This window comes from Homo sapiens, chromosome 11 (genome assembly GCF_000001405.40).
Source record: "Homo sapiens chromosome 11, GRCh38.p14 Primary Assembly".
Taxonomy (NCBI): domain Eukaryota; kingdom Metazoa; phylum Chordata; class Mammalia; order Primates; family Hominidae; genus Homo; species Homo sapiens.
Window position 1 is genome coordinate 87,056,491 of NC_000011.10, and position 27,252 is coordinate 87,083,742.

At 38.5% G+C, this 27,252-nt stretch overlaps 1 protein-coding gene across 4 annotated transcripts in view, besides 1 other annotated feature; it reads left to right on the plus strand.

Moving 5' to 3' along the window:
• The window catches only part of TMEM135 (transmembrane protein 135), a 290,891-nt gene that overhangs the window by 18,557 nt on the left and 245,082 nt on the right, over nt 1–27,252 (plus strand). For 3 of the 4 annotated variants that reach the window (NR_033149.2, NM_022918.4, NM_001168724.2), the window contains exons 2-3: nt 11,204–11,331; nt 15,033–15,125. Coding sequence is in view for 2 of the 4 variants with exons in the window: in NM_022918.4 (NP_075069.3) it covers nt 11,204–11,331; nt 15,033–15,125 (221 nt within the window). In the remaining 2 variants the exon portion in view is untranslated. Of the gene's footprint in view, nt 1–11,203; nt 11,332–15,032; nt 15,126–19,182; nt 19,297–27,252 lie in introns of those variants that run through there. The other variant, XM_017018141.3, reaches the window with a different exon arrangement.
• Nucleotides 26,333–27,172: an enhancer, noted in NCBI's record as "OCT4-NANOG hESC enhancer chr11:86793865-86794704 (GRCh37/hg19 assembly coordinates)". NCBI's record gives its function as "activates a minimal SCP1, AML or CMV promoter by ChIP-STARR-seq in naive and primed H9 embryonic stem cells {active_cell/tissue: H9 hESC(naive and primed)}" and the evidence as "EXISTENCE:reporter gene assay evidence [ECO:0000049][PMID:30033119]".

Genomic DNA, 27,252 nt, shown 5'->3' on the forward strand with positions numbered 1-27,252 from the left:
TTCAGGTAGGTGGTTAGGATTACCCTATCAAAGATTAGTAAAGGATTTTATGTCCATCAAATGGTTGACAGACTAATTATTAGACTTTAATATTAATGTGTTGAAGTGCAGTTTAAACCTTTTAACATTGGCTTTATCTTCTTTTTAGTGGAATTTATGTATCAACAAATAGTGAGGCAGTTGTTATTTTTTAGTCAAGTAGTTACTGTTATCTGTGATTTCTTCTCTTTCTCAAATCATCCTTCCTGGGCTTGAACTCTTAGTGTTCATGAGTTCTGTTTAAAGGATTCAATTCATTACCCAATATTCACCCAATTTGTCACCCAGTATTCTTATTGGAGAGACTGGAACAAATATGTATACTTTCTATTTTTTATCTGAATATTGTTGTTCAATTAGAAATATATTAGTTTTTTCCAATTAATTAAAGTATTTCACATTAGAGTCCATGATATTTGTACTTAAGTATGCAGAAGATGGCAGGGTATGAAAGAGTGTTTTGGTTTAAAGTTGTAGTGCTGCCTGGGAGTTCCATCACTAAAAGTTGAAGTGACAGGTGTGTGTTTTCAAGACTTTCCCTATATTACAAAAATATTGGTATTACTCAGTTTTGAACATGGGTATAATATACGCAGGACTCAGTCTGAGTCTTGTTCCTGATCACATTTTGTTTCAGTATTGTAACTTAAGTATATTTTTATTTTTATCTTGAAAGCCTATCTCAACTTTTATATAAAAATTTGAAAATGTAGGAGAGGAAGGCTATTACAGGTAAGGTATGTAAGGCTTAATGGTCATCGCTAAAGTTTGAATGGTATGATTTTCATTACAGGGAGGCTTTACAGTATCATCATTACGGAAAACTTTTGAAGATTGCTTGTATCTTCCCACATATATTATTAACAAGTTGCCCTAGTTTTTTGGCTTTCTTGTTTTGTTTTTAATAAGCTGATTCTTGTATCTGTTGGGGGCAGCATGGTGTAATGCACTGGTTGTGAGTTACAAGATCTGAGTTTTTGTTTTGCTTTGCGATTTATGATGCGATTTCTTCATTTATAAGTAGAAGAGAATCTTGCCTTAACTTCGTGGCTTGCTGTGGGAATCATATGAGATAGTGCACATATAAAAGCTTTAAAAACTGTAAGAAGATAGGTAAATATTGGTCTATAATACTTGGTTTCTTGTTATTTTGTTTGAGATATTTATATTTGGCTTTTGTAGCTTATGATTCTAACCTTAAAAATAAAGACGTTGGAAGCAATTCAGATTTAGCTTATTAGAGTTCTTCAAAGAAACAGAAGCCTCTGTGTGTGTGTGTGTGTGTGTTTGTGTGTGTGTATAAAATAAGGAATTGGCTCACAATTTTGGAGGCTTAATAAATGCCAAGATCTGCAGTTGGCATGCTGGAGACCCAGAGAGCCAATGTGTAATTCCAGTGTGAGTCCAAAGGCCTGAGTACTAGAAGAGGACAATGGTGTAAGTTCCAGTCTGGAAGCCAGCAGGCTGTAGACCCAAGAAGAACTGGTGTTTCAGTCAGGTCTGAAGGCAGGAAAATACCAGTGTCCTAGCTCAAGAAATCAGGCAGGAGGAGTTTGTTGTTTTGTTCTCTTCAGGTCTTCAACTGAGAGGATGAAGCCTACTCACATTAGGAAGGACAATCTTTTTCTCAGTCTACTGATTCAAATGTTAATCTCACCTAGAAGCACCCTCATAGACATACCCAGAATATCATTTGACCAAATGTCTAGGCATTCCTTGGCCCAGTTAGATTGATACATAAAATTAAACATGGTATACAGAAAAATTTGTTTGTTACAACAAATAATTCTGCCTCCTTTATTATTATTATTATTATTTTTTTGACAGTCTTGCTCTGTCACTCAGGCTGGAGTGCAGTGGCGTGATCTTGGCTTGCTGCAACCTCTGTCTCCTGGGTTCAAGTGATTCTGCTGCCTCAGCCTCCTGAGTTGCTAGAATTACAGGCGTGTGCCACCACACTCCACTAATTTTTTGTATTTTTAGTAGAGACTGGGTTTCGCTATGTTGGCCAGACTGGTCTTGAACTTCTGGTCTCAAGTGATCCACCCGCCTTGGCCTATGATAAATTGTTTTTTAAAAACAAGGTCTTATTTTATTTTATTTTATTTTTGACAGAGTCTTGCTCTCTTGCCGAGGCTGGAGTGCAGTGGCGCGATCTCAGCTCACTGCAAGCCCCACCTCCTGGGTTCATGCCATTGTCCTGCCTCAGCCTCCCGAGTAGCTGGGACTACAGGCGCCCACCACCATGCCCGGCTAATTTTTTTGTATTTTTAGTAGAGACGGGGTTTCATCATGTTAGCCAGGATGGTCTCCATCTCCTGACCTCATGATCTGCCTGCCTCACCCTCCCAAAGTGCTGGGATTACAGGCATGAGAACAAGGTCTTATTTTTAATTTTAATTTTAATTTAATTTTTTTGTTTGTTTGAGACAGAGTCTCGCTCTGTCACCCAGGCTGGAGTACAGTGGTGCAATCTTGGCTCACTGCAACCTCCACCTCCTGGGTTCAAGCAATTCTCCTGCCTCAGCCTCCCAAGTAGCTGGGATTACAGGCACCCACCATCATGACTGGCTAATTTTTGTATTTTTGTGGAGACGGGGCTTCACCATGTTGGGCAGGCTGGTCTTGAACTCCTGACCTCAGGCGATCCACCTGCCTCGGCCTCCCAAAGTGCTGACGTCAGCCACCGCGCCCAGCCGAAAAATTTTTAGAAAAAAAATACAGGAGGTCTTTTGATTATGGATGAATATCCTACTTTAGTTCTGTTGTTTGAAGTTCTTTTTTTTTTTTTTTGAGATGGAGTCTCGCTCTGTTGCCCAGGCTGAAGTGCAATGGCGTGATCTCGGTTCACTGCAATCTCTGCCTCCCAGATTCAAGCGATTCTCCTGTGATTCTCCTGCCTCAGCCTCACAAGTAGCTGGGATTACAGGCGTGTGCTACCACGCCTGGCTAATTTTTGTATTTTTAGTAGAGACAAGGTTTTGCCATGTTGGCTGAGCTGGTCTCGAACTCCTGACCTGTAGTGATCCACTCGCCTCAGCCTCCCAAAGTTCTGGGATTACAGGCATGAGCTACCACACCTGGCCTTTCCCAGATACTCTGATTACCAGAGAGGAAATCTCTTCTTAACACTTAATAAAACAAAACTGCACAACACAAGAAGGAATTGGGGTTGAATCAGGAAGCAATTCTGCAGAGTGAAGGAAACTAGCATTTTCAAAATGCCTACTATGTGCTAGTTACTCTGCTAAATACTTTATATTTGTTATCTTATTTATAAAAAGTACTTATTAACAGATCTTGGGGCCGGGCGTGGTGGCTCACGCCTGTAATTCCAGCACTTTGTGAGGCCAAAGCAGACAGATCACGAGGTCAGGAGTTCGAGACCAGCCTGCATAAAATGGTGAAAATCTGTCTCTACTAAAAATACAAAAATTAGCTGGGTGCAGTGGCACATGCCTGTGGTCTCAGCTGCTTGGGAGGCTGAGGCAGGAGAATCGCTTGAACCGGGAGGTGTAGGTTGCTGTGGGCGGAGATCGCGCCACTGCACTCCAGCCTTGGCAACAGAGCATGACTCTGAATAAAAAAAAAGAAAGAAAAAAAGTAAATCTTATAGATCTTGGACAAGGAAGAGGGTAAAGTTAATTGCACAGCTGGTTGTTGTCCAGTCTCTGCTATTGGAATTAATTCTTTTTATTTGCTAATTTAGTGTTGTGAATGTTGTTTTTCCATCTTCTTTCCTCTTTATTTTTTTGTAGACTGGAACTGTAGTTTCTAGCCCCTGAGTCATCATGGGTGCCTTATTTAGTCTTTCTGCAGGTTAGATCACCAAATTTTTGAAGAGTCAGGTTATTTTTATATCTTAGTTGTAGTTTCCCTATGTTTTTGTGTTTTTCTCTGAGAATAGGCAACTTGATCTTCTGTAGGAGCTAGTAAGTCACAGGTTTAAATTTATAACATGCAGTATGGATAAGTGATAATTCTCCTTATTTAGAATGTGTTTTGACTTCAACATCAATTGGTAGTTAAGAGCCACTTGCCTGACTTCAATCCCTGCTCTGCCTGTATCAGTCACCTTGAGTAACTTCGTCTCTCTGTACTTTTTCTTTTTTCTTTCCTTTTTTTTTTTTTGAGACGGAGTCTCGCTCTGTCACCCAGGCTGGATTGCAGTGGCGTGATCTCGGCTCACTGCAAACTCTGCCTTCCGGGGTCATGCCATTCTCCTGCCTCAGCCTCCTGAGTAGCTGGGAGTACAGGTGCCCACCACCACGCCTGGCTAATTTTTTGTATTTTTAGTAGAGACGGGGTTTCACTGTGTTAGCCGGGGTGGTCTCAATCTCCTGACCTCGTGATCTGCCCGCCTCGGCCTCCCAAAGTGCTGGGATTACAGGTGTGAGCCACCGCACCCGGCCTGTCCTTTTTCTTATCTCTAAAATGGTGATAATAAAATCATGCCCATTAAAATCATGCCCAATAAAATGAGGAGATTGAAATCTAAAGAGCATCTAAACAAGGATTTTTCATAGAAATAGTTGTGGGGTAAAGATTGTTATGAAATTAAATGAGTTGACATTTGTATGGTATATAGGATGGTGCCTGGCACAAGTGCTATATAAGCATTTTTTTTAAATAAAATAAAAATTCTGGAACTAACATATTCAAAATATATAAATTCATTATGCTCTTTCCTTTAAAGCAGTTGTTCTTACTCAATAAGGGGCACAATCTTACCTCCTAGGAGACATTTAACAATGTAGGCATTTTTGGTTATCACAGCTGGGGGGATTCTATTGCCATTTAGAAAGTAGAGGGCAGGGATGCTGCTAAACATCCTTCAATGCATAGGACAGCCCTGCACAACAGATGATCTGGCCCAAAATGTCAATAGTGCCAAGGCTGAGAAACTCTACTTTAAAGAAATCATTTTTTGCTAGAGATTACTTTAAGAAAGATTAAATAGATACAACATAAAATTGACTCTTATTTGCAAACTATTTAATTTTCCAAAGAAACTAGATTTCTCACACTATCACCCTTTAGAAATGTATTCTTCTAGAAGAGTTTAATGATCAAACTCGGAGGCTCACAGTAACTACTAATTTAGAGTTTGGTACTAGTAAGGCTAAGATCATGGGTCTTTGAGGCCAATTAGCTTTATTCCATGGCCGTAAAGTGCAATCCCAATACAGTCAACCATCTCTATGGCAAATGTGCAGCACTAATCACATGGGGAAAGAAACGGGAATAACAAGAGAATGTATATAGTGCTGATGGATGTTTAATAGTGATAATCTTATGAAGAGATACTTCTAAATTGGGGGCCTGACCTTATAATTTTGTATCACTCTTCAGTCTGTGCCCATCGTATTAGTCAGGTTGGTCTCCATACTTGCGTTTAATCAACTCTGCTTATTGCTGCCTGTCTTTTGACTCATGCCTGGAATATTTGTGAAGATATTAACTTATGTTTGCTTCTGGGTACTTTTTTTTTCTTGAGACAAAGTCTCACTCTGTTGCCTAGGCTGGAGTACGGTGGCACAATCTCGGCTCACTGCAGCCTCCACCTTCTGGGTTCAAGCAATTCTCCTGCCTCAGCCTCCTGAGTAGCTGGGATTACAGGGACACACCACCACGCCTGGCTAATTTTTGTATTTTTAGTAGAGATGGTATTTCATCATGTTGGTCAGGCTGGTCTCGAACTCCTGATCTCGTGATCCGCCCACCTCGGCCTCCCATAGTGCTGGGATTACAGGCGTGATCCACTGCATCTAGCCCCTTTTTCTGGGCACTTTATTGTTTTATAATTTTCAAATTTAGGTACATGATTTATTTCAAATTACTTTTTGTGTATAGTTTCAGGTAGGGGTCAAAGAACATTTCCCCCCAAGCCCCCCCCCCCCCCCGCATAGATGTCCAATTCTTCTAATATCATTTATTTATTTATTTATTTTTGAGATGGAGTCTCACTCTGTCGCCCAGGTTGGAGTGCCATGGTGTGATCTCAGCTCACTGCAACCTCCACCTCCTCGAGTTCAAGCGATTCTCCTGCCTCAGCCTCCTGAGTAGCTGGGATTACAGGCGCCTGCCACTGTGCCCGGCTAATTTTTGTATTTTTAGTATAGATGGGATTTCACCATCTTGGCCAGGCTGGTCTTGAACTCCTGACCTTGTGATCCATCTGCCTCGGCCTCCCAAAGTGCTGGGATATAAGCGTGAGCCACTGCACTCGGCCCATTTATTTTTAAAAAAATTACATAATTTTAGAAGTAGAAAAAATGAACAGTTTTGTTATTTAATTTAACCTCTTTATTTAGTAAATGAGGAGATTGAAATCTAAACAGCACGTTTCTAAACAAGGATTTTTCATAGAAATAATTGTGGGGTTAAGATTAAAAATAAAATCTGTTAATTGTATTGTATTATGCTGATTGTTTCCACTCCCTGTTGAGATTTGTTTCTATGATAATTAATCCTTATTTCTCACACTTGTTCTCCTTGCCCCAATATTATAAATTGTAACATATATTTATTGTAGAAAGTCTGGAACGTATCCAAAAGTGAAAAGAAGAAAATTAAAATAATCTATTATCAACCATTTAGAGATAATCAGTGTATAACATTCTAGTATTTGTTCTGTATGTTCATTACAAATTATTTTTTGGTAATCTGTCTTTTCACTTTATATATTTTGATTCATTTTCCTAGGGCATGAAATAGTCTTCTAAAACCAGGTCATGTAAATACATAAATACAGATATGTATTTTAACCATAGTGGTATGATGTGCCTTTTTTTAGCTAAATCTTTATATGCATGTTTGAAAAATTCATAAGAAATTAATGAATGTGGAATTATTTGGTCAAAGCATATGAACATTACGAAGTCTTTGATTATAAAATGTGATGTTTCTGAAGGTATCTGATATCTGATGATTTTATACATGAGTGCAAGTGCTATTGTAATTACTACATGGCTAACACAATTATTGGTATGTTATTTGTTTAGATTAGTGCTTCCTAACCTTTTTCATGCTGTAGTGTGCTGTGGTTTACATAGAAAATGATAAAAATACGTGGCACACTGGGGAAAACAGAGGCAGTGGTCACCCTGCCCTGTTACCTTGTGTCTGGCCTGGCTAACTAGACTACTGAGAGGATCATTATTTTAGCCACTTGTAAACCTTGGTTAGAAGCTCTGGGTTACAGCACAGTGATGATAAGGTCCTAGGTTATTTTCTGTGTCTTGTGTTAGATATTTCCTGTTTCTCACAATAGACTGTACAGTTTGGTCTATCAATATGGTAAATATGTACAATTTATGTACTTTACTGTTAATGGACATTTAGGTGGTTACAGTATTTGTAATGACAGATAATGCTATAAATATGTCTTTTGGCGGACATAAGCACTTATTTCTTTTGAGTAAAATACCCGGGAATGGAATTGCTGAGTTATGGGGTAGACATTTAATTATGTCTGGGTTATGGGGTACACATTTAATTAGATGCTATCCAACGGTTTTCCAAGGGGACCACAATTTTATATTGTCATGAGCAATATATGAGAACTAATCCTAAAGCTGTGTGAGAATTGTAGTTGCTCTACATTCCCACCAGCACTTTATATTATCAGTTCTTGGCATTTTAGCCATTCTAATGTGTGTGTGGTGGTATTTCTCTGATGACTAATGGTGCTGGTAGCCTTTTATATGCCTATTGGTCATGCGAATGACTCCTTTTTTTTTTTTTTTACACAAAGTATTGAACTTTTAATTTTGAGATAATTGTAGATTCACATGCAGTTGTAAGAAGTACAGTTCTTCAAGAGATTCAGTTAACTCTTTATCCAGTTTCTCCCAATTGTTTCATCTTGCAAAGTAGTAGTATAATATCACAACAAAAATACTGCCATTGATACAGTCAAAATACAGAACATTTCCATCACCAGAAGGATCCCTAATGTTGCCTTTTATAGCTATACTCACTTCTTTTCCACTTACCCACTCCCCCTTAATCCCTGGCAACCACTAAGTTATTCATTTCTATAATTTTGTCATTTTAAGAATGTTATAGAGGCCAGGCACGGTGGCTCACGCCTGTAATCCCAGCACTTTGGGAGGCCGAGGTGGGCGGATCGCCTGAGATCAGGAGTTCGAGACCAGCCTGACCAACATGGCGAAGCCCCATCTTTACTAAAAATACAAAAAATTAGCTGGGCGTGGTGGCCGGCGCCTGTAATCCCTGCTACTTGGGAGATTGAGGCAGGGAGAATTGCTTGAATCTGGGAGGTGGAGATTGCAGTGAGTTGAGATCATGCCATTGCACTCCAGCCTGGGCAACAGAGCGAGACTTTGTCTCAAAAAAGAAACCCAAAAAAACAATATTCTAGAAATGGAATCATACAGTATGTAGCTTTAGGATTAGCTTTTTTTTTTTCCCCCCACTCAGTATAATTCTGTGGAAATTCATCAAGGTTGTTTCATATATGCTTTTTATTGTTCATTTTTATTGCTGAATAGCATTTCATGTCATGGCTATATCACAATTTGTTAAACCATTTACTTTTTGAAGGGCATCGGGGTTGTTTCTGGTTTTTGACGATTGCAGACAAACCTGCTATAAACATTCCTTCACAGGTTTTTGTATAAGCATATGTTTTTATTTCTCAGAGATAAATACCCCAGGACTACAATTGCTGGGACAAATAATAGTTGATTGTTTAATTTTTCAAAAAACTGCTAAGCTGTTTTCCAGAATTGCTATACCATTTCATATTTCCACCAGTAATGCATGAGTGATCCAGTTTTTCTGAATCCTTCCAACATTTGATGTTGTCACTGTTTTTTATTTTAGCCATTCTGATAGTTGTAACACCTCATTGTGGCTTTAACTAGCATTTTCCTGATGGCTAATGTGCTTATTTGCTGTCTGTTTATCCTCTTCTGTGAAATGTCTGGTCATATATTTTCCTATTTTCTAATTGGGTTGTTTGCTTTTTATTGTTGAGTTTTGGGACTTCTTTATGTATTCTAGATACTAGTTCCGTATTAGATATGTGATTTCTAAGTATTTTCTTCTCTTCTGGAGCTTGCCTTTTTAAATTTCCCAACAGGTCTTTAATAGAGAAAAAGTTTGAATTTTGATGAAGTTCAGTTTATCAATTTTCTCTTTTGTGAGTTGTGCTTTTGATGTCAAGTCTAAGAATGCATTGTCTAGCCTTGTATCCATAAGATTTGCTCCATTTTTTCCCCCTAGAAATTTTGTAGTTTTATGTTTCACATTTGTGCCTGTGATCCATTTTAAATTAATTTTTGCATAAAGTGTGAGACTTAGGTTGAGGTTTAGTTTTTCTTTTCTTTTAACCTATCATTTACCACACTGGCATATTATAGCTTACTGCTGTTGTTTGTGTCTATTTCCCTACGGAGATTTTATGTTCCTTGAAGGAAAAGATTGGGTCTTATTCATCATTGTTTTGCCTGTGTATGAGAGTTGAATCGAAGTAATAGATGGTCAGTTTCAGAGGCTTGAAGAGGGAGGGAGTAACAGAAGAATTGAGAAGATGCCATTAGATTTGTTGATCACTGACTTTCGGAAAAGTATTATCTCTAGAAAGATGGAGAATAAATGGAGAGTTTTATAGTCTTTCTGTTCTGAAGTTAGTTTTTCTCTTTCTTACACCCTCTTACTCCTTCCCTATTATGTTCTAACCTTTTTGGTTATGTTGTTTCATTATGATGGAGAAGTACTCTTTTCTACGACTAGTGAGGAGTCTATTATTCTTCCCAGTTCAGCTCATATCCCGTTCTCCATGAAATTCCTGCCTTCCCCTGTATTAAACTGACTCTGCTAAAATTCTGTGGTACTTTCTATTATATTACTAACACTTAATCAGTCCTCAGTATCTATATATCTTGCACATATTATGATTTATATTGCTTTATTTCCTGGAACGTTAATAGTCTGCTCAATAAATACTTAGATTTCATGTCTATCCATATAATTGCTAAATTATTTCAGGGCCTTTTTTGGTTTTAATCTAGAAATCTTCCTTTCATATTCAGAGTTCACCAAAAAAAAAAAAAAAAAAAGGTTTTCAATCTAAATTTAAAAGCTAAGTCATGAAGACTGATAGGTTGATATTTTTTATAAAACAGTCCTATGATAAACTTCTGCAGTCTTTTGTATTGGGACTTATTCGTGTTTCTGTGTTCTGGTCACAGGTGATACATACTTGTGTTGTTACTAGATTCTTTCTTTTTTTTTTTTTTTTGAGACAGAGTCTCACTCTGTTGCCAGGCTAGAGTGCAGTGGCACAATCTGGGCTCACTGCAACCTCCGCCTCCCGGGTTCAAGCAATTCTCCTGCCTCAGCCTCCCAAGTAGCTGGGACTACAGGCGCCCACCACCACGCCCGTCTCATTTTTTGTATTTTTAGGAGAGACAAGGTTTCACCATGTTGGCCAGAATGGTCTTGAACTCCAGACCTTGTGATCTGCCCACCTCGGCCTCCCAAAGTACTGGGATTACAGGTGTGAGCCACCGCGCCCGGCCTAGATTCTTAATATTATTTTTTCAGGTCTTTTTTTTTTTAATGGGCTCCAGGAGGCCAGAAATCATTATTTTTTAAATTTACTAAATATATATATATATACACACACTATGTATATATATAGTAATATACTATATATATGTAGTATATATATATTTTTTTTTCTTGCCACACAGAAGTCAAGTTTGAATAACTGAATGAATTTCTCTGGTTTCTATTAGTGAAGTTCTCTAATAGTAATAGCCTGATAAAATCTGTAATATAGTTTTATTATACCATCCAGTTTTTATTTGAAATGGAATTTTTTTCATTTAAAAATATATTCCATTTTTCAGTTTAAAATTGTTTTAAGGCATTACAAATATTTACCTCAATGTATGGAGATTATTCAACGTATGACCCATATCGTAATTCCTTGGTGTATATTTTACCCTCAATAAATTCAGGTGTCTTCCTTTCTATCCTGAACATTGTATTTTTATAGAAGATCCAGTGAAATGCCAGCATTTTTACTTTAACTTATAAATATATGCTTTTATACAGTAGCTTCCACATATAAGCTAATTTAAGTGGGAAATGTTGGTTGGATTAAACAAAAAATCCTTTCTCTTTCCAGATTGCAGCAATTCTCCGGAAACGGAAATTAGACTATTATTTACACAAACTACTCCCTGAGATCCTACAATCCGCTTCATTTCTAACTGCTAATGGGGCCTTGTATATGGCTTTCTTTTGCATTTTAAGGTTGGTACTCATAATCACCATAGATACTAATATAGGTTCTTCTATTGAAATGGAAACAAGTATGTGTTTACATAAATGTTATGTGGGTTACTATCCCCGCCCCCCCTTTTTTTAATCTGTGAAGTGACATTTATGTCAATGAAAGCTTGTAAAACCAGGAACTGTGGGCCTCTTGACGTCAAGATGTAATATAAACTTTAAATTATTGGTGTAATTATATAGCATAAATACTTTAAGATGTTATACATATTCTGAGGCCTGTTATATTTACCAAGTTGTTGAATAGGATTTCTTAGCTTTTCAGTTTCATAGATCAGGAATTCAAAGCAACTGTCTATGACATGGGTTAGGGCCACATGCAGTGAACAAACTTCAAAAGGACTATAACATACACATTTTTATTTGTAAAACAGTAAGTTAACTCCTGGTATATTCTGTTTTTGGAACTTTTGGTCCTGATTCAGTCTTATATATATTACCTGTGCTACATCTTTATACATTGTAGAGATGCAGATAGAATTCAGTCTTTTGAGTGCTCTTACTTATCTGACATATTTATTAGCTATTCTTTTTATTTTTTTCCTGTTGATTGCTGAAAACTCAAACTTACGTTTATTTATTTATTTATTTTTTAAAATACTTTCTGTTAGTGTTGAACAAAGTAGTTGTGCAGGTATATTTTAACTGCAATTAAAAGTATAATTTCTGACCGGGCGCGGTGGCTCACGCCTGTAATCCCAGCACTTTGGGAGGCCGAGGCGGGTGGATCACAAGGTCAGGAGATCGAGGCCATCCTGGCTAACATGGTGAAACCCCGTCTCTACTAAAAAGTACAAAAAATTAGCCGGGCGTGGTGGTGGGCGCCTGTAGTCGCAGCTACTCGGGAGGCTGAGCCAGGAGAATGGCATAAACCCGGGAGGCGGAGCTTGCAGTGAGCCGAGATCGCGCCATTGCACTCCAGCTTGGGGGACAGAGTCAGACTGTCTCAAAAAAAAAAAAAAAAAGTGTAATTTCCAAATGTCTTTCACAGATTTTTCCCTAAGATCATTATCAGATCATTAATATTTATAAACTTTTAGATTATGCAGAAAATAATTGATAAGGCTTTTATACTATTGAACAAATCATGCCTTTAAATTGACATGAAAATCTATGTAAGGAACTCTCTTTATCATGTGCTCTCTAGAAAGTTTCTATGACGGCCGGGCGCGGTGGCTCACGCCTGTAATCCTAGCACTTTGGATCACGAGATCAGGAGATGGAGACCATCCTGGCTAACACAGTGAAACCCCGTCTCTACTAAAAATACAAAAAATTAGCCGGGCGTGGTGGCATGCGCCTGTAGTCCCATCTACTTGGGAGGCTGAGGCAGGAGAATTGCTTGAACCCGGGAGGCGGAGGTTGCAGTGAGCCGAGATTGCACCATGCATTCCAGCCTGGGTGACAGAGTAAGACTCCGTCTCAAAAAAAAAAAAAAAAAAAAAAAAGAAGAAGAAAGTTTCTATGATTAGGTTTTTAAAAAAATTGCAGTTAAGTATACCTTGCTATTGCAGCATCTTTATGTTCTATGAACCTGTTTGGTTAAGTTGTAGAAGCATGTATCCTGAAGATACTAGGAGACCATAAGAACTCATGAGGTGGTTGAGGGTCAGGGTGGAATTGAAAATGTCACTTACATTTTGTTCCTAATTGGGTAGATGAGATGCTGTTACTTGAGGTAGGGAACTCAGAAGTAAAAGCACATTTGAGAAATACAGTGAAATCTGCTTTGGACATGTTGCTTTTTATGGTGCCTATGGACATCTACGTTAACGTGTCCAATAGACATTTGAAATTTGAACTTAGAATATATTTAAGGTAACATTCATGTTCTCCCTATAACTGATTCACTAAGTCCATTTTTCTTAAGATTTTACATTCAATAACTTAAGTCCTTTATGGATTTTATATTGGAGTCTTCACAGGTGGAAGGTTTCTGATGTCCATGTCAAAAAATACCCAAGTTACATGTCCTCAATAGCTTTTCTAATCTTTTTGAATCTGAGCTTCAGTTTAAGAAATTATTTCAGGCCAGGTACGGTGGCTCACACCTGTTATCTCAGCACTTTGGGAGGCCAAGATGGGAGGATTGCTTGAGGCTGTCAGTTCGAGGCCAGCTTGGGCAACATGGTGAGACTCTGCCTGTTAAAAAAAAAAAAAAAATTAACCAGGCATGGTAGTGTGCCCGTAGTCCCAGCTAACTTGGGAGGCTGAGGCCAGGAGGATCCCTTGAACCCAGGAATTTCGGGCTACAGTGAACCATGATTGTAGCACTGCATGCCAGCCTGGTGACAGGGCAAGACCTTGTCTCTAAAAAAAGAAAAAGCTTTATTCTTATATATATCTATCTATATAATTTTCATAATGTATAATTTAGCAATTTACCAACTTTGTTCAGATAATTTCTTATAATTTTTACTTGCTACTTCTCCCTTTCTTAGGAACATATGTTTTCAAGGAAAAAAAACTTCCTCATGTCTCCAAATATTTTTTTTTCTCTTAAAAAACCTGCGTTGGCTCACGCCTGTAATCCCAGCACTTTGGGGGGCCGAGGCAGATGGATCATGAGGTCAGGAGTTCGAGACCAGCCTGACCAACATGGTCTCTACTAAAAATACAAAAAATTAGCCGGGCGTGGTGGCAAGCGCCTGTAATCCCAGCTACTCGGGAGGGGCTGAAGTAGGAGAATCGCTTGAACCCAGGAGGCAGAGGTTGCAGTGAGCCGAGACTGCACCACTGCACTCCAGCCTGGGCAACAGAGCAAGACTCCATCTAAAAACAACAACAACAACAAAAAACCAAACCAAAAACGAAACCCAGACAGCTACTGGTCATTTGTCATTTGTCATTTATGAGGCACTGTGAGGATTCCTACTTTCAAGGAATATACTCTAGTACATGAAAAATGATGTACACATAAAACTAAAACGTATAAAATACTTTAGTAAATGCTGTAAGAAAAAGTTATCAAGGGTTGTGGAAGCAAAGAAGGGAAAACATTTATTGAATGTCTACCATGTGTTGAAAAAATAGTCATAATAATAGTGATAACAGCTAACACTTTCTGAGTACTTGTTATGTGTCCTGCCTGGCTCTGGGAAATATCTCATATAGTTCTCTTAATGGCTCTATGAGATAGGTAATATTATCCTCATTTGATAAATAAAGGAAACTGAGAAGCCAGAGGGTTTGCATAGCCAGCAGGTTTGGATCCAGGGAATGCCTGAATGAATGTGGCCGGCTGTTACTGAAAGGAGTGTTACCCATTAGTTGTTACTGTAGCCGCCTTAATGAGAGTTAGTGAGAGACTTAACTAAGGCAGGGGCAGTAGGTTGGAGAGGAATTTGAAAGATAAATTGCATCTGTAATAATTTAAGGGAATAATTTAATATGTGGGGTAAGGGAAACAAAGTTGAGGATGACGCCTGTCAAACATAAGTGGATAGGTGGTTGTTGATGCTATTAACCTAGGAAAATAGAGGAGAGAGAACAAGTTCATGGGGCTAGGGGAGACAGATAATGAGTTTGATTTTGAATATGTTTATTTTGAGGTAGTGTGGTACATTTAAATAGAGTATGGATGGAGAAGGGAAACTTCTATTCATAATAACTGAAGTGACCAACTAGGAATTTCATACAAAAATTCCAAATTTGAATTTCAGGAAGATACTTGGAAAATTCTACTCATGGACTCCTGGCTTTGGTGCCGCTCTGCCAGCATCTTATGTGGCCATTCTCATTGAAAGAAAAAGCAGGTAAAATTTCATATATTTATTTAACGGAACTGATTACCTGTCCCCTACCCCAACTATAATTTTTTTTTTTTTAATTATCACTTACAGGGATGAGAAATATTTCTAGATATATTTTTTCGGTTCTGCAGATATTTAATTGAAAATTAATTTTATATTAATGTTTATATGTATTTTATATTTATTGTCTATAAAAATATAAAAGTGGACATTATAGAGCAGTAATAGCCTCTGTTTACTAAAAGATTAGAGAGTTCTATAATGTGACCTAACTAAAATATGGCTATGCAAATTCTAGGCCAGGCAGCTCATTCCTGTAATCCCAGCACCTTGGGAGGCTGAGGCGGGTGGCTCACTTGAGCCTTGGAATTTGAGACCAGCCTGGCCAGCATTGGAAAACCCTGTCTCTACGAAAAAAAATACAAAGAATATTAGCTGGATGTGATGATGTACTCTTGTAGTCCCTGCTACTCAGGAAGCTGAGGTGGGAGGATCACCCGAGTCCCCAGAGGTCAAGGCTACAGTGAGCCGTGATCATGCCACCACACTTCAGTCTGGGCAACAGAGTGAGACTCCTGTCTCAAAAAACAAGCAAATAAACAAACAAATTATAATCAAAGATTTTTTCCATAGCCATAATAGCATTTCACACTTAAGAAAATTAACAATAGTTTTTTATTATCATCTAGATCTGTACTTCGCTTACTTTGCTTCAGGCTCTTTGAGTAATTGAGTAATTGATCTCAAATCAATTATTATTATTATTACTAATTTATTTATTTTTCTGAGCCAGAGTCTTGCTCTGTTGCGCAGGCTGGAGTGCAGTGGTGCGACCTCGACCCACTGCAACCTCCGCCTCCCGAGTTCAAGCAATTCTCCTATCTTAGCCTCCCGAGTAGCTGGGATTACAGGCGCATGCCACCATGCCCGGCTAGTTTTTGTGTTTTTTTAGTAGAGACAAGGTTTCACCATGTTGGCCAGGCTGGTCTCAAACTCCTGACCTTGTGATCCGCCCGCCTTGGCCTCCCAAAGTGCTAGTATTACAGGTGTGAGCCACTGTGCCTGGCCCAATTATTTTTAAGACATCTTGTATTTAAAAAAAATTTTTTATTGTTATCAGCCTGAAATTTTCCATGTGAATAAATATGATTTCTATAAAATGTTGCAAACTTACATAAACTGTTCAGTCAGGTAAACAGTTAAAGTTTAAAGGTTTTGCCATAAGAAAATACTTGCCATCTCATGAATAATTGTTTTTATTGCTGAGGAATTTATCCACCTTTGTCCCAGATAAATCAAGAAAGGATCATGTACTGAAACCACTTATGAAGATGCTTATTGTAGTCATTGGCCCTCTGGTAAGAGTGTGAGTAATTCTCATCAAATAACCAAATATTAAACTACTGGAAGCCACTCTTACTTATTTATTTATTTATTTTTTTGAGGTGGAGTCTCACTCCGTCTCTAGGCTGGAGTGCAGTTGTGCGATCTCAGCTCACTGAAACCTCCTACTCCCTGGTTAAGCAATTCTCTTGCTTCAGCCTCCCAAGTAGCTGGGACTACAGGCACGTGCCACCACGCCCAGCTAATTTTTGTATTTTTAGTAGAGACGGGGTTTCACTTTGTTGGCCAGTATGGTCTTGATCTCCTGACCTTGTGATCCGCCCACCTCGGCCTCCCAAAGTGCTGGGATTAGAGGTGTGAGCCATCGCACCCGGCCCATGAAGCCACTCTTAATACATTTTTGTAAGTGTCATAGTATCTAAATTTTTGTGGTTCTCTGTTTGATTATATCAATGACTACAATACTTAAACTTTTGGATTATTAGAATGACTAAAATCAAAGGATTGGTGAATGTTATAACCTCAGCAAAATCAAGTCAGTAATTCCAGGAACATAGGTTACTCCACCTGAAAAGAGAGTACAGCATGATTGTTGAAGCATGGATTTTGGAGCTGTGCTATCTGTCTTAGGAGCCCAGCTCTGCCACTGACTGCGTGATATTCATTACTTGAAAAATGAAAATAATGATAATCTATTTGTAGGATTGTTTATTTTATTTTTTTTTTTTTGAGACGGAGTCTCGCTCTGTTGCCCAGGCTGGAGTGCAATGGTGCAATCTCGGCTCACTGCAACTTCTGCCTCCCAGGTTCAAGCGATTCTCCTGCCTCAGCTTCCCATGTAGCTGGGATTACAGGTGCCTGCCACCACGCCTGGCTAATTTTTGTATTTTTAGTAGAAACGGGGTTTCACCATGCTAGCCAGGTTGGTCTCAAACTCCCATCCTCAGGAGATCCACCAGCTTCGGCCTTCCAAAGTGCTGGGATTACCTGCGTGAGCCACTGCGCCCAGGCTTATTTTATTTTTTTTGGGACAGAGTCTCACTCCGTCACCCAGGCTGGAGTATAGTGGCTTGATTTTGGTTCACTGCAACCTCTGCCTCCTGGGTTCAAACGGTTTTCCTGTCTCAGCCTCCCAAGTAGCTGGGACCACAGGCATGAACCACCAAGCCTGGCTAATTTTTGTATTTTTAGTAGAGATGGGGTTTCGCCATGTTGGCCAGGCTGGTCTCGAACTCCCAACCTCAGGTGATCAGCCTGCCTCAGCCCCCCAAAGTTTTGGGATTACAGGCATGAGCTACTGGGCCCGGCCTGTCGGGTTGTTTAGATAATTAAGTGAATTAATATATGTTAAAATGCTTAGAACAGTGCCTGACACATAGTAAGAGTTATATATGTGTTAAGTATTATTTTTGTTTTTTTTGCCTGTAAGTAGAGTTATTCTGGTGATGGTAACTTCCTAATCAATAGAAAAACTGTGTATATTGGTTTTGAAAAGATATTTTTGAAATATGTCAGTTACATTAAACTAAAGATGCTTTAAATCAAGGTAGCTACTATTTACTCTTATTTAGCACTCAAATAATTAGATAGCATTTTTGCAGTTATGTACCTACTTTTCAACACAAACTGTTGAACACCTTTGTAACAATCAACTAGAGTCAATGGTTATTAACATTTTGCCATTTTAGTTTATTTGTATGTGAATATATGTGAATGTGTGTTTTTTCTATGTGTGTGAGCCATATGGAAACATGTTATAAACATCATGCCACTTTACTCCTGAGTACTTCAGCACGTATCTCTTAAAAATAAGGATATTTTTCTACAGAATTACAACACTCTTATCACACACAAGACAATTAGCAACCATTTTTTCATACCATCCAGTTCATATTGTCCTAAAATGGCTTTTAATGCTATTTTTTTGAACCAGAATCTAGTCAAGGTTGATGTGTGTTGATGTATTTCTTTCTTTTCCTTTTTCTAAAAGTACTTTTTCTTGAGATAGGGTCTTGCTTTGTCACCTAGGCTAGAATGCAGTGATGTGATCATAGCTCACTGCAGCCTCAATCTCCCGGGCCTAAGAGATCCTCTTGCCTTAACACCACCCTCCCACCGCCTCCCCAACCCCCGACCAGTAGCTGGGACTACAGGTGCACACCACTATGCTCAGCTAATTTTTTATTTTTTATTTTTTAATTTAATTAGTTTATTTTTTTTGAGACGGAGTCTCGCTCTGTCTCCCAGGCTGGAGTGCGGTGGCGCCATCTCTGTTCACTGCAAGCTCCGCCTCCCGGGTTCACGCCATTCTCTTGCCTCAGCCTGCCGAGTAGCTGGGACTATAGGTGCCCGCCAGCTAATTTTTTTTTTTGTATTTTTAGTAGAGACGGGATTTCACAGTGTTAACCAGGATGGTTTCGATCTCCGGACCTCGTGATCTGCCCGCCTCAGCCTCCCAGAGTGTTGGGATTACAGGCGTTCGCCACTGCACCCGGTCCAATTTTTTATTTTTATATTAAGTAGCTGAGGTCTCACTGTGTAGCCCAGGCTGGGCCGGTCCTGAGCTCAAGTGATCCTCCTGCCTTGGCCACTGAAACTGTTGGGATTACAGATGTGAACCACTGCACTTGGCCTATTTTCTTTTAATCTAAGATAGTGTCTCCACTTTTTCCCTCTACAGCATTGCTTTATTGAAGTGACCAGGCCAGTTGTCTCGTTGTATGTAATACATTTCTGATTTGTCTGAGTTATTTCTTCATGGAATTGGTGAATTGGTTCAACAATTGGGTCCCAAGCCCAATATCATTATGGTTTTTGCTGACGTGTAGAGGTACGTACTGCCTTGGTGGTCTTGTATAAGATCCAGAAGAAATCTCTGGATTAAAGCAGAGATTCTTGTTCTTTTCCCTTACTTTCTCCTAAATAAACAGGGTCTCTCTCTCTCTCTCTGTGTGCTGAACTGCTTGGAACTGAGCATGAGGTGACACAAGCATCCCTGTGGCTACCATCCCTGGGACTGCGCTGGGTCAGACTTGAAGCTAGCACAGCAGTGGGTCTTGCCCAAGGCTTGCTGTAACCATTACTTGGCTACCACTTGTGTTCACTCAAAGCCCTAGGGCTCTATAATCAACAGGTGGCAAAGCCAGCCAGGTTTTGTCCTTCCCTCTGGGTGACAAGTTCTCCCGGGCCCTGGGCAGGTCCAAAGATATTGTCTGGGAGCCAGGGATAGGAGTAAGAAAAGTTTGCCTGATATTCTTTTCCACTGTGGCTAAACTGGTGCTCAAACCACAATATAAAGTCCTTCCCACTCTTCCCTCCCCTTTCCACAGGCAGAGGAGCCTCTCCATGTGGGCACCACCACCACCAGCCCATGGCAGGCTTCTGACTGGCCACTGCTGATGTTCACTTAAATACCACAGGCTCTTCAGTCAGCCTGTAGTAAATGCTGCCAGGCCTGGGACTCACCCTTCAGGGCAGTAGGCCCCCCCTCTGGCCTAGGGTAGGTTCAGAAATGCTGTCCAAGAGCCTAGACCTGGACTTGGGGACTCCAGGAGCCTGCTTGTTGCTTTACCCCACTGTGTCCAAGCTGGTACCTACGTGCAAGACAAAGTTCCCTTTTGTTTTCCTTCTGCTTTTCTCAGACAGAAGGAGTCTTTTGCCATAGCCAGCCACAGCTGGGAATGTGCTAGGTCACATCTGTAGTGGGCATGTCTCAGAGCCCAAGGCTACGGCATACTCCTTGGGTATCGCTCCTAATTATTCAGGGTCTAAGGGCTTGTTAGTCTGCAGGTGATGAATCCTGCCAGTACTGGGTGCTTTCCTTCAAGGCAGCAGGTTCCCTTTTGGCCCAAGGTATGTCTAGAAATGTCATCCAGGAGCAAGGCTTGGAATGGATCCTTCATGACTCTGCCTGGTCTCTTCTCCTACTGTGGCTGAGCTGGTATCCAGTGATGACATCTTATTTAACTGTAGTATAATATAAAACCAGGAAGTTGACATTACTGTCAACTACACTATAGACTTCATTCAGTATTCACTAATTCTTATGTATACTCATTTGTGTACATGTCTATGCAGTTTGTTCCCATGTATAGAGTTGTTTACCCACCACTACAATCAATGTCCAAAACTGTTTCAACACTACCAAGGATTGCCCTTGAACTATCCCTTTGTAGTTGCACCATTTTCATCAATTCCTGTCTCCTGGTAACAACTAGTCTACTTTTCATTTCTATATTTATATCATTTCGAGGAAGTTATATAAATGGAATGATGCAATGTATAACGTTTGGACATAGGCTTTTTCTTTTTTAAACTAAGCATGATGCCTTTGAGATCCATCTAAGATGTAGCTTGTATTACTAAGCTTATTCCTTTTTTATTGCCCAGTAGCATTCTACTATATGGATGTACCAGAGTTTGTTAAACATTCACTTGTCGAAGGACATTTATGTTATTTTCAGTTTTTGGCTGCTCCATCCATGGACATGGTTTATCTCTCCATTTAATTAGATCTTTTATTTCTTTTCATCAGTTTTTATAATTTGCAGAATGCGTTTCATATACGTGTTAGATTTACACCTGTTTCCCTTTTTGGGAACAATTGCAAATGATTTTTCTGTTTTTGTAATAGCTTTATTGAGTCATAATTCATATTCCATACAGTTCACCCTTTTGAAAACTGCACAATTCATTTGTTTTTAATATATTCACAAAGTTGTTTAACTACCATCACAAACAATTTTAGAACACTTTATTCACCTCAAATAGAAACCCCTTTAACTGTCACCCCCTAATCCTTCATCCTCCTCACCCAGCCCTAGGCAACCACTAATTTCTGTCTCTAAAGATTTGCTTCTTCTGGACATTTTATATAATGGAGTCATACAATATGTGTCATTGGTGACTGGCTTCTTTTACTTAGTGTAATGGTTTTGAAGTTTGATGTCATACGTATCATTTCATTACATTACTTTTTATTGCCAAATAATTCATTATATGGATATGTCACATTTTATTTATTCATAAGTTGATGGAAATTTGGATTGTCCCACTTCTTGGTTATGAATGTTGCTACACTAAACATTTGTGGACACATTTTTGTGTGGACATATGTTTTTATTTTTCTGGATTATGTACTCAGGAATGGAATTGCTGCCTTAATATGGCAACTCTGTTTAGCTTTTTGAGGAACTGCCAAACTGTTTACCAAAGTGGTTGTACCATTTTCTGTTTTGTTCAGCAGTATATAAAGGGTCCAATTTCTTCGCATTTTGGCTATCACTTGTTATTACATGTCTTTCTGATGATAGTCATTGTAGTGAGTGTGAAGTATTTCATTATGGCTTTGATTTTTCTCAGATGACTAATGATATTGAGCATCTTTTCATATAGTTTTTGATCATTTACATATCTTCTTTGGAGAAATGTCTATTCAAATCCTTTGCCCATGTTTTAATTGGGTTATTTATCTTTTAATTATTGAGTTGTAAGGGTTCTTTAGATATTCTAGATATAATTTTCTTGCCAGATATAATTTGCAAATATTTTCTCCCATTCAGAGTGTTGTTTTTTCACTTCATTGATCTTGTCTTTGAAGCAGAAAAGTTTTTAATTTTGATGAAGAAGTCCAAGTTATCTATTTTTTCTTTCTTTTTTTTATTTGTTTGTTTTTTTGTGACACAGTCTTGCTCTGTCGCTGAGGCTGGAGTGCAGTGGCGTGATCTTGGCTTTTGCAACCTCCACCTCCTGGGTTAAAGCAATTCCCCTGCCTCAGCCTCCCAAGTAGCTGGGACTGCAGGTGTGTGCCACTACACCTCGCTAATTTTTGTATTTCTTTTTTTTTAGTAGAGATAGGGTTTTGCCATGTTGTCCAGGCTGGTCTCGAGCTCCTGACCTAAGGTGATCTGCCTGCTTCCACCTCCCAAAGTACTGGGATTACAGGCGTGAGCCACTGTGCCCAGCCCGTTGTGTTTTTGGTGTCGTATTTAAGAAATCATTACCAAGACGAATATTTAGCTCCAAGTTTTATTTTACTTTATTATTTATTTATTTGTTTATTTTTTGAGGTGGAGTCTTGCTCTGTCTCACACTCACTGGAGTGCAGTGGCATGATCTTTGCTCACTGCAACCTCCACCTGCCTGGTTCAAGCAATTCTTCTGCCTCAGCCTCCCAGGTAGCTGGAACTACAGGTGCATGCCACCACACCCAGCCAATTTTTGTATTTCTAGTATTGATGGGGTTTCACCATGCTGGCCAGGCTGGTCTTGAACTCCCGACCTCAGGTGATCCACCTGCCTCGGCCCCGCAAAGTGCTGGAATTACAGATGTGAGCCACTGCGCCTGGCCATGTTTTCTTTTAAAAGTTGTATAGTTTTAGTTCTTACATTTAAGTCTTTCATCCATTTTGAATTAATTTTCGTCGGTAGTGTGAAGTAGAGAGTATTAAGTTTTAAATTTCATTTTCCACATTTGTTAATATGACATATAAATATAGTAGATTTTTTTGTGTTTTATCTTGACTTCTGTGACCTTGCTGAATTTATTAGTTTTAAGAGTTTTTGGTACATTCCTTGAGATTTTCTATACAGACAATTATGTTACCTGCAAATAGGGATGGTTTTCTTTCTTTTCCAATCTGTATGTCCTTTTTTCTGCTTGTATCTTGTATCTGCTCTTAGCGGGAGGCATTCAGTTTTTCATCATTAAGTGTATTGTTAGCTGTGGGGTGGTTTTTCAGATGCTCTTTGTTAGGGTTAGGACGTTTACATTCATTTCTAGTTTGCTGTGAACCTTTATCATGAATGGATGTAATATTTTGTTATATGGCTTTTCTGCATCTATTGATAAGATCATATGATCTTTTTTCTTTTTTTCTTTTCTTTTCTTTTTTTTTTTTTTTTGAGACGGAGCCTCACTCTGTCGCCCAGGCTGGAGTGCAGTGGCGTGATCTCGGCTCACTGCAACCTCTGCCTCGTGGGTTCAAGCGATTCTCCTGCCTCAGCCTCTCAAGTAGCTGGGACTACAGGTGCGTGCCACCTCGCCTGGCTAATTTTTGTATTTTTAGTGGAGACGGGGTTTCACCATATTGGCCAGGCTGGTCTCGAACTCCTGACCTCGTGATCTGCCCTCCTCAGCTTCCCAATGTGCTGAGATTACAGGCATGAGCCACCAGGCCTGGCTGAGCTTTCTTCTTTTGCCTGTTTGCAGTGTTTTTTTTTTTTTTTTTGATATCAACAAGGACAAGATCATTGACAGTGATGTTTGTCTACAGCTGGTTTTCTCAACTTTGGCACTATTGACATGTTTTGGGCCAGGTAATACCTTACTGGGAGGGCTCTCTTGTGCAGTGTATCTATACATGCCATTAGCACTGCCTTCCCCACCCCACCAAGTTGAGATAACCAAAAATTCCTACAGGCATTGCTACATCTCCCCATGGAACAAATCTCTCCTTGTTGAGAACTACTGATCTATATCTTTACTAATTTTCTTAGTCTAGTTTTATCATTTGCTGAGAGAAAAGTGTAAAATCTTCAACTGTGATTCTGGAATTGTCTATTTCTCTTTTTAATGCTATCAATTTCTGTGAAGGTTTTATTGGTACATGCACTTTTTTTTTGTTACCATTTCTTCATGATGTCATGATGAATTGAACCTTTTATCCATATGGAATGTCCTTCTGTAGCTCAGATATTATTTGTTCTGAAGTTTATTTTTATTTGATTTTTTTATTTCTTATTTTTTTGAGATAGAGTCACACTCTGTTGCTCCTGCTGGAGTGCAGTGGCATGATGTCGGCTCACTGCAACCTCCACCCACCGGGTTCAAGCAACTCTTGTGCCTCAGTCTCCTGAGTAGCTGGGATTACAGGCACGTGCCACCACGCCTGGCTAATTTTGTATTTTTGGTAGAGACGGGGTTTCACCATGTTGGCCAGGCTGGTCTCAAACTCCTGACCTGAAATGATCCACACGCCTTGGCCTCCCGAAGTGCTGGGATTACAGGCATGAGCCACCGCGCCTGGCCTATTTTTATTTGATATTGATATAGCTACTCCAACCTTTTCATATTTACAGTTTGCAGAGTGTATTTCTTTCCAGTTAATTTCAAACATCTGTGTCTTTATAATTAAAGTTTTTTTTTTTAGCAGATAATATACAGTGGGGTCTTATTTTTTTATATCTATTCTGCTAGTGTTAGCCTATAAATTAGATTATTTAGTTCATTAACATTTGAGGCATTTATTATTTATTGGTATGGCTAGGTTGAGTGAGCCATTTTATTATTTGTTTTCTGCTTTTCATTTGTCTGTTCCTCCTTACTTCCTTTGTATTGTTTGATTTTTTTTGTTTTGTTTTTAGAATTCCACTGTAATTTTTTTTTTCGTTATTTTCTTTTAGTGCTTGCTCTATAGACTACAATATACATCTTTGAAGTTTCTTAATGTTACCATTTTACTACCTCTCAAAATGTGGCAACCTGTCTAGGTCCATCTTAGGACTGCTTACTATTGGATTTGTTTTTTGTTTGTTGGTTTGTTTTTTCTCTTTCTTTGAACGCTAACATTAGTTCAAATACAGTAAAACCAAAGTAAAAGAGTGTTACTGATATTAAGAGCAATAACTTCTTAGGGCATAACGAGAGGTTTCCTGGATGTAAGGTGATAACGTGGATTTGGGTTGCTAGTTTATTTTCTGTTTTATTTTCACTTTTGATAGCTGAGGGTTTTTTTTTTTTTTAAGCTTTCTGTTTTTCTTTTCCTGTAGATGAGCTTTTGCACTAGTGTTTCATTCTTAGACATTGGTTGTTCAAAGAAAATTTTTAGGTATTACAGATTATGACCTATTCTAAATATTAGCTGAAGTAGTTTTATTGTTTTAACGACTTAATAAGAAATTTAAGTCTAGCTTTAACTTCTTTATAACTGTTATCACATGGTTGCTGAAGAAAAATTGATCCTTCCCTTGATCTCATTGTTACATTATTGAACTCTTTGTGTATGTGTTGATTTAGTTCTTTTGTTTATTAGGTGATGCAGTTAACAATACTGGGAGATAGCTCTGTAGTTCTTTCTGTTGAGAGTTGTGTATGTCTATGCATACAATCACAATTCCTGGTTGGATTTAATTAAAAACTTTAATTTTTGTTTTTTAGTGTTGTTCACAAGCTTAGTGACTTTAAGAAAAAAATCAGGTTTTGTATTTTTTCTTTTCCCTTTGGAGTTAAACTTTAAAACTCTTTAAATCTCTTGACAAGTTGCCTTACAGTGTGTCTTGTTTTAAGTAAATGTGTCTGTGCGTATTTGGAATTTGCGAGTTACTTTAGTAGCTTAATTTGCTCTGAAAAAGTATTCTTGACTTACCACGAATTTATGTAAGACTTCATTAAATATCAAGATCCATTAAAAGCTTATAAGTAATTTGCAAGAGTTGAAGTTATGCATATTTTAAAATTATTACATCTAGTGCCAAAAATCAAGCATATTAGTATTGTAGTTCTTGTTTGGTAAGGAAAAAGAATTTATAATTATGCCTTTAATTCACAGAGAAAATCAATGATATGCTGGTGGAAATAGCCAGCAGGCAGCTGGAAATGTGAGTCTAGGTTCAAGGGAAAGATGGTAGTTAGAAAAATAAAAATGGAAAGTTTTCCTCTAATAGGTGGTCGTTGAAACTGTGGAAGTAGATTCATGTGTGAAAGCCCAGTATGAGAGGAGGTCTAAGATTGAACGTTTAGAAGCAGCAACATTTAAGGAGCCAGTTGTCAATTGAAATGTGTACAGTTCAGTCTTTAAATTTAATGTCAGCAATATACGAGAAAGAGTAGAAGAAACATATTGTGATGACTAGCAGTTTCTTTTTAAAAAATAGCAAATAATGGTAGTCCTAAGTTTTAAACCTCTAAAGCTTTAATAGTGCAATCTTTACTCTGAGATTTTGCATTCAGTTGTATAATCAGTTTTTCAAAAAGTATTTAATGAGGTGAGAACATACAATATGCACTTATCTCTCTATCTGGATATAGATATAAATACATAGATAAAGATCTATCTGTAAATATCTTCATCTATATTGGTTTAAGTTTCTTTCTTCCTCTTTTTTCCTTCTCTCTAATCCATTCATCAATTACCCCCTCCCTTTCTAGTAGTATTAAGCGTGCTTGCTTGCTAGTTTCTGACACCCAGTAAGAGGGCAGCTTACTTAAATCTTAATCGCATCATTGTGGGGTTCTGAGAGAGCTTTGAGGTTGTTTCCAGGGTTGCTTAAAAAATTTGTGCCACAAAGGACTCTGATCATAGTAACTCAGTAGGAAGCATTGGTAACATCTAGTTTATCTGTAGGAGGGCTGTTAAGAACTAGTCTTCTTTTTCTTTTTCTAGGAAGTGCTTTGTTTGTGGTTTAGAAAGAAGTTGTTCTGATGGATTTTGTTTTGTAGAATTGCTGTGGAATTTGCTTTGATATTTAGTATTAGTTAAGAATTGCAGTGTGCTCAAACATGAACATGGATTAAAGTATCAACAATTGCATATTTATTGCAAGCATACTCATTTGTTGAATTATTAAATTGCACTATAGTACTTATGAAACTCCAAACCAGGTATGACCAGAATGAATGATCTATATAATATGGGAATAAAAGAATACTCATAAATTTGGTCTGTAAGTTCTTGGTATCTTCAAGTTTCATTGGCATGTTAACTTCACCAGAAGATTAAACACTTTGTAGCCTTCTGTAAAGTTTACTCTTTATGTACTATATAAGATAGAACATGATCATAGACTC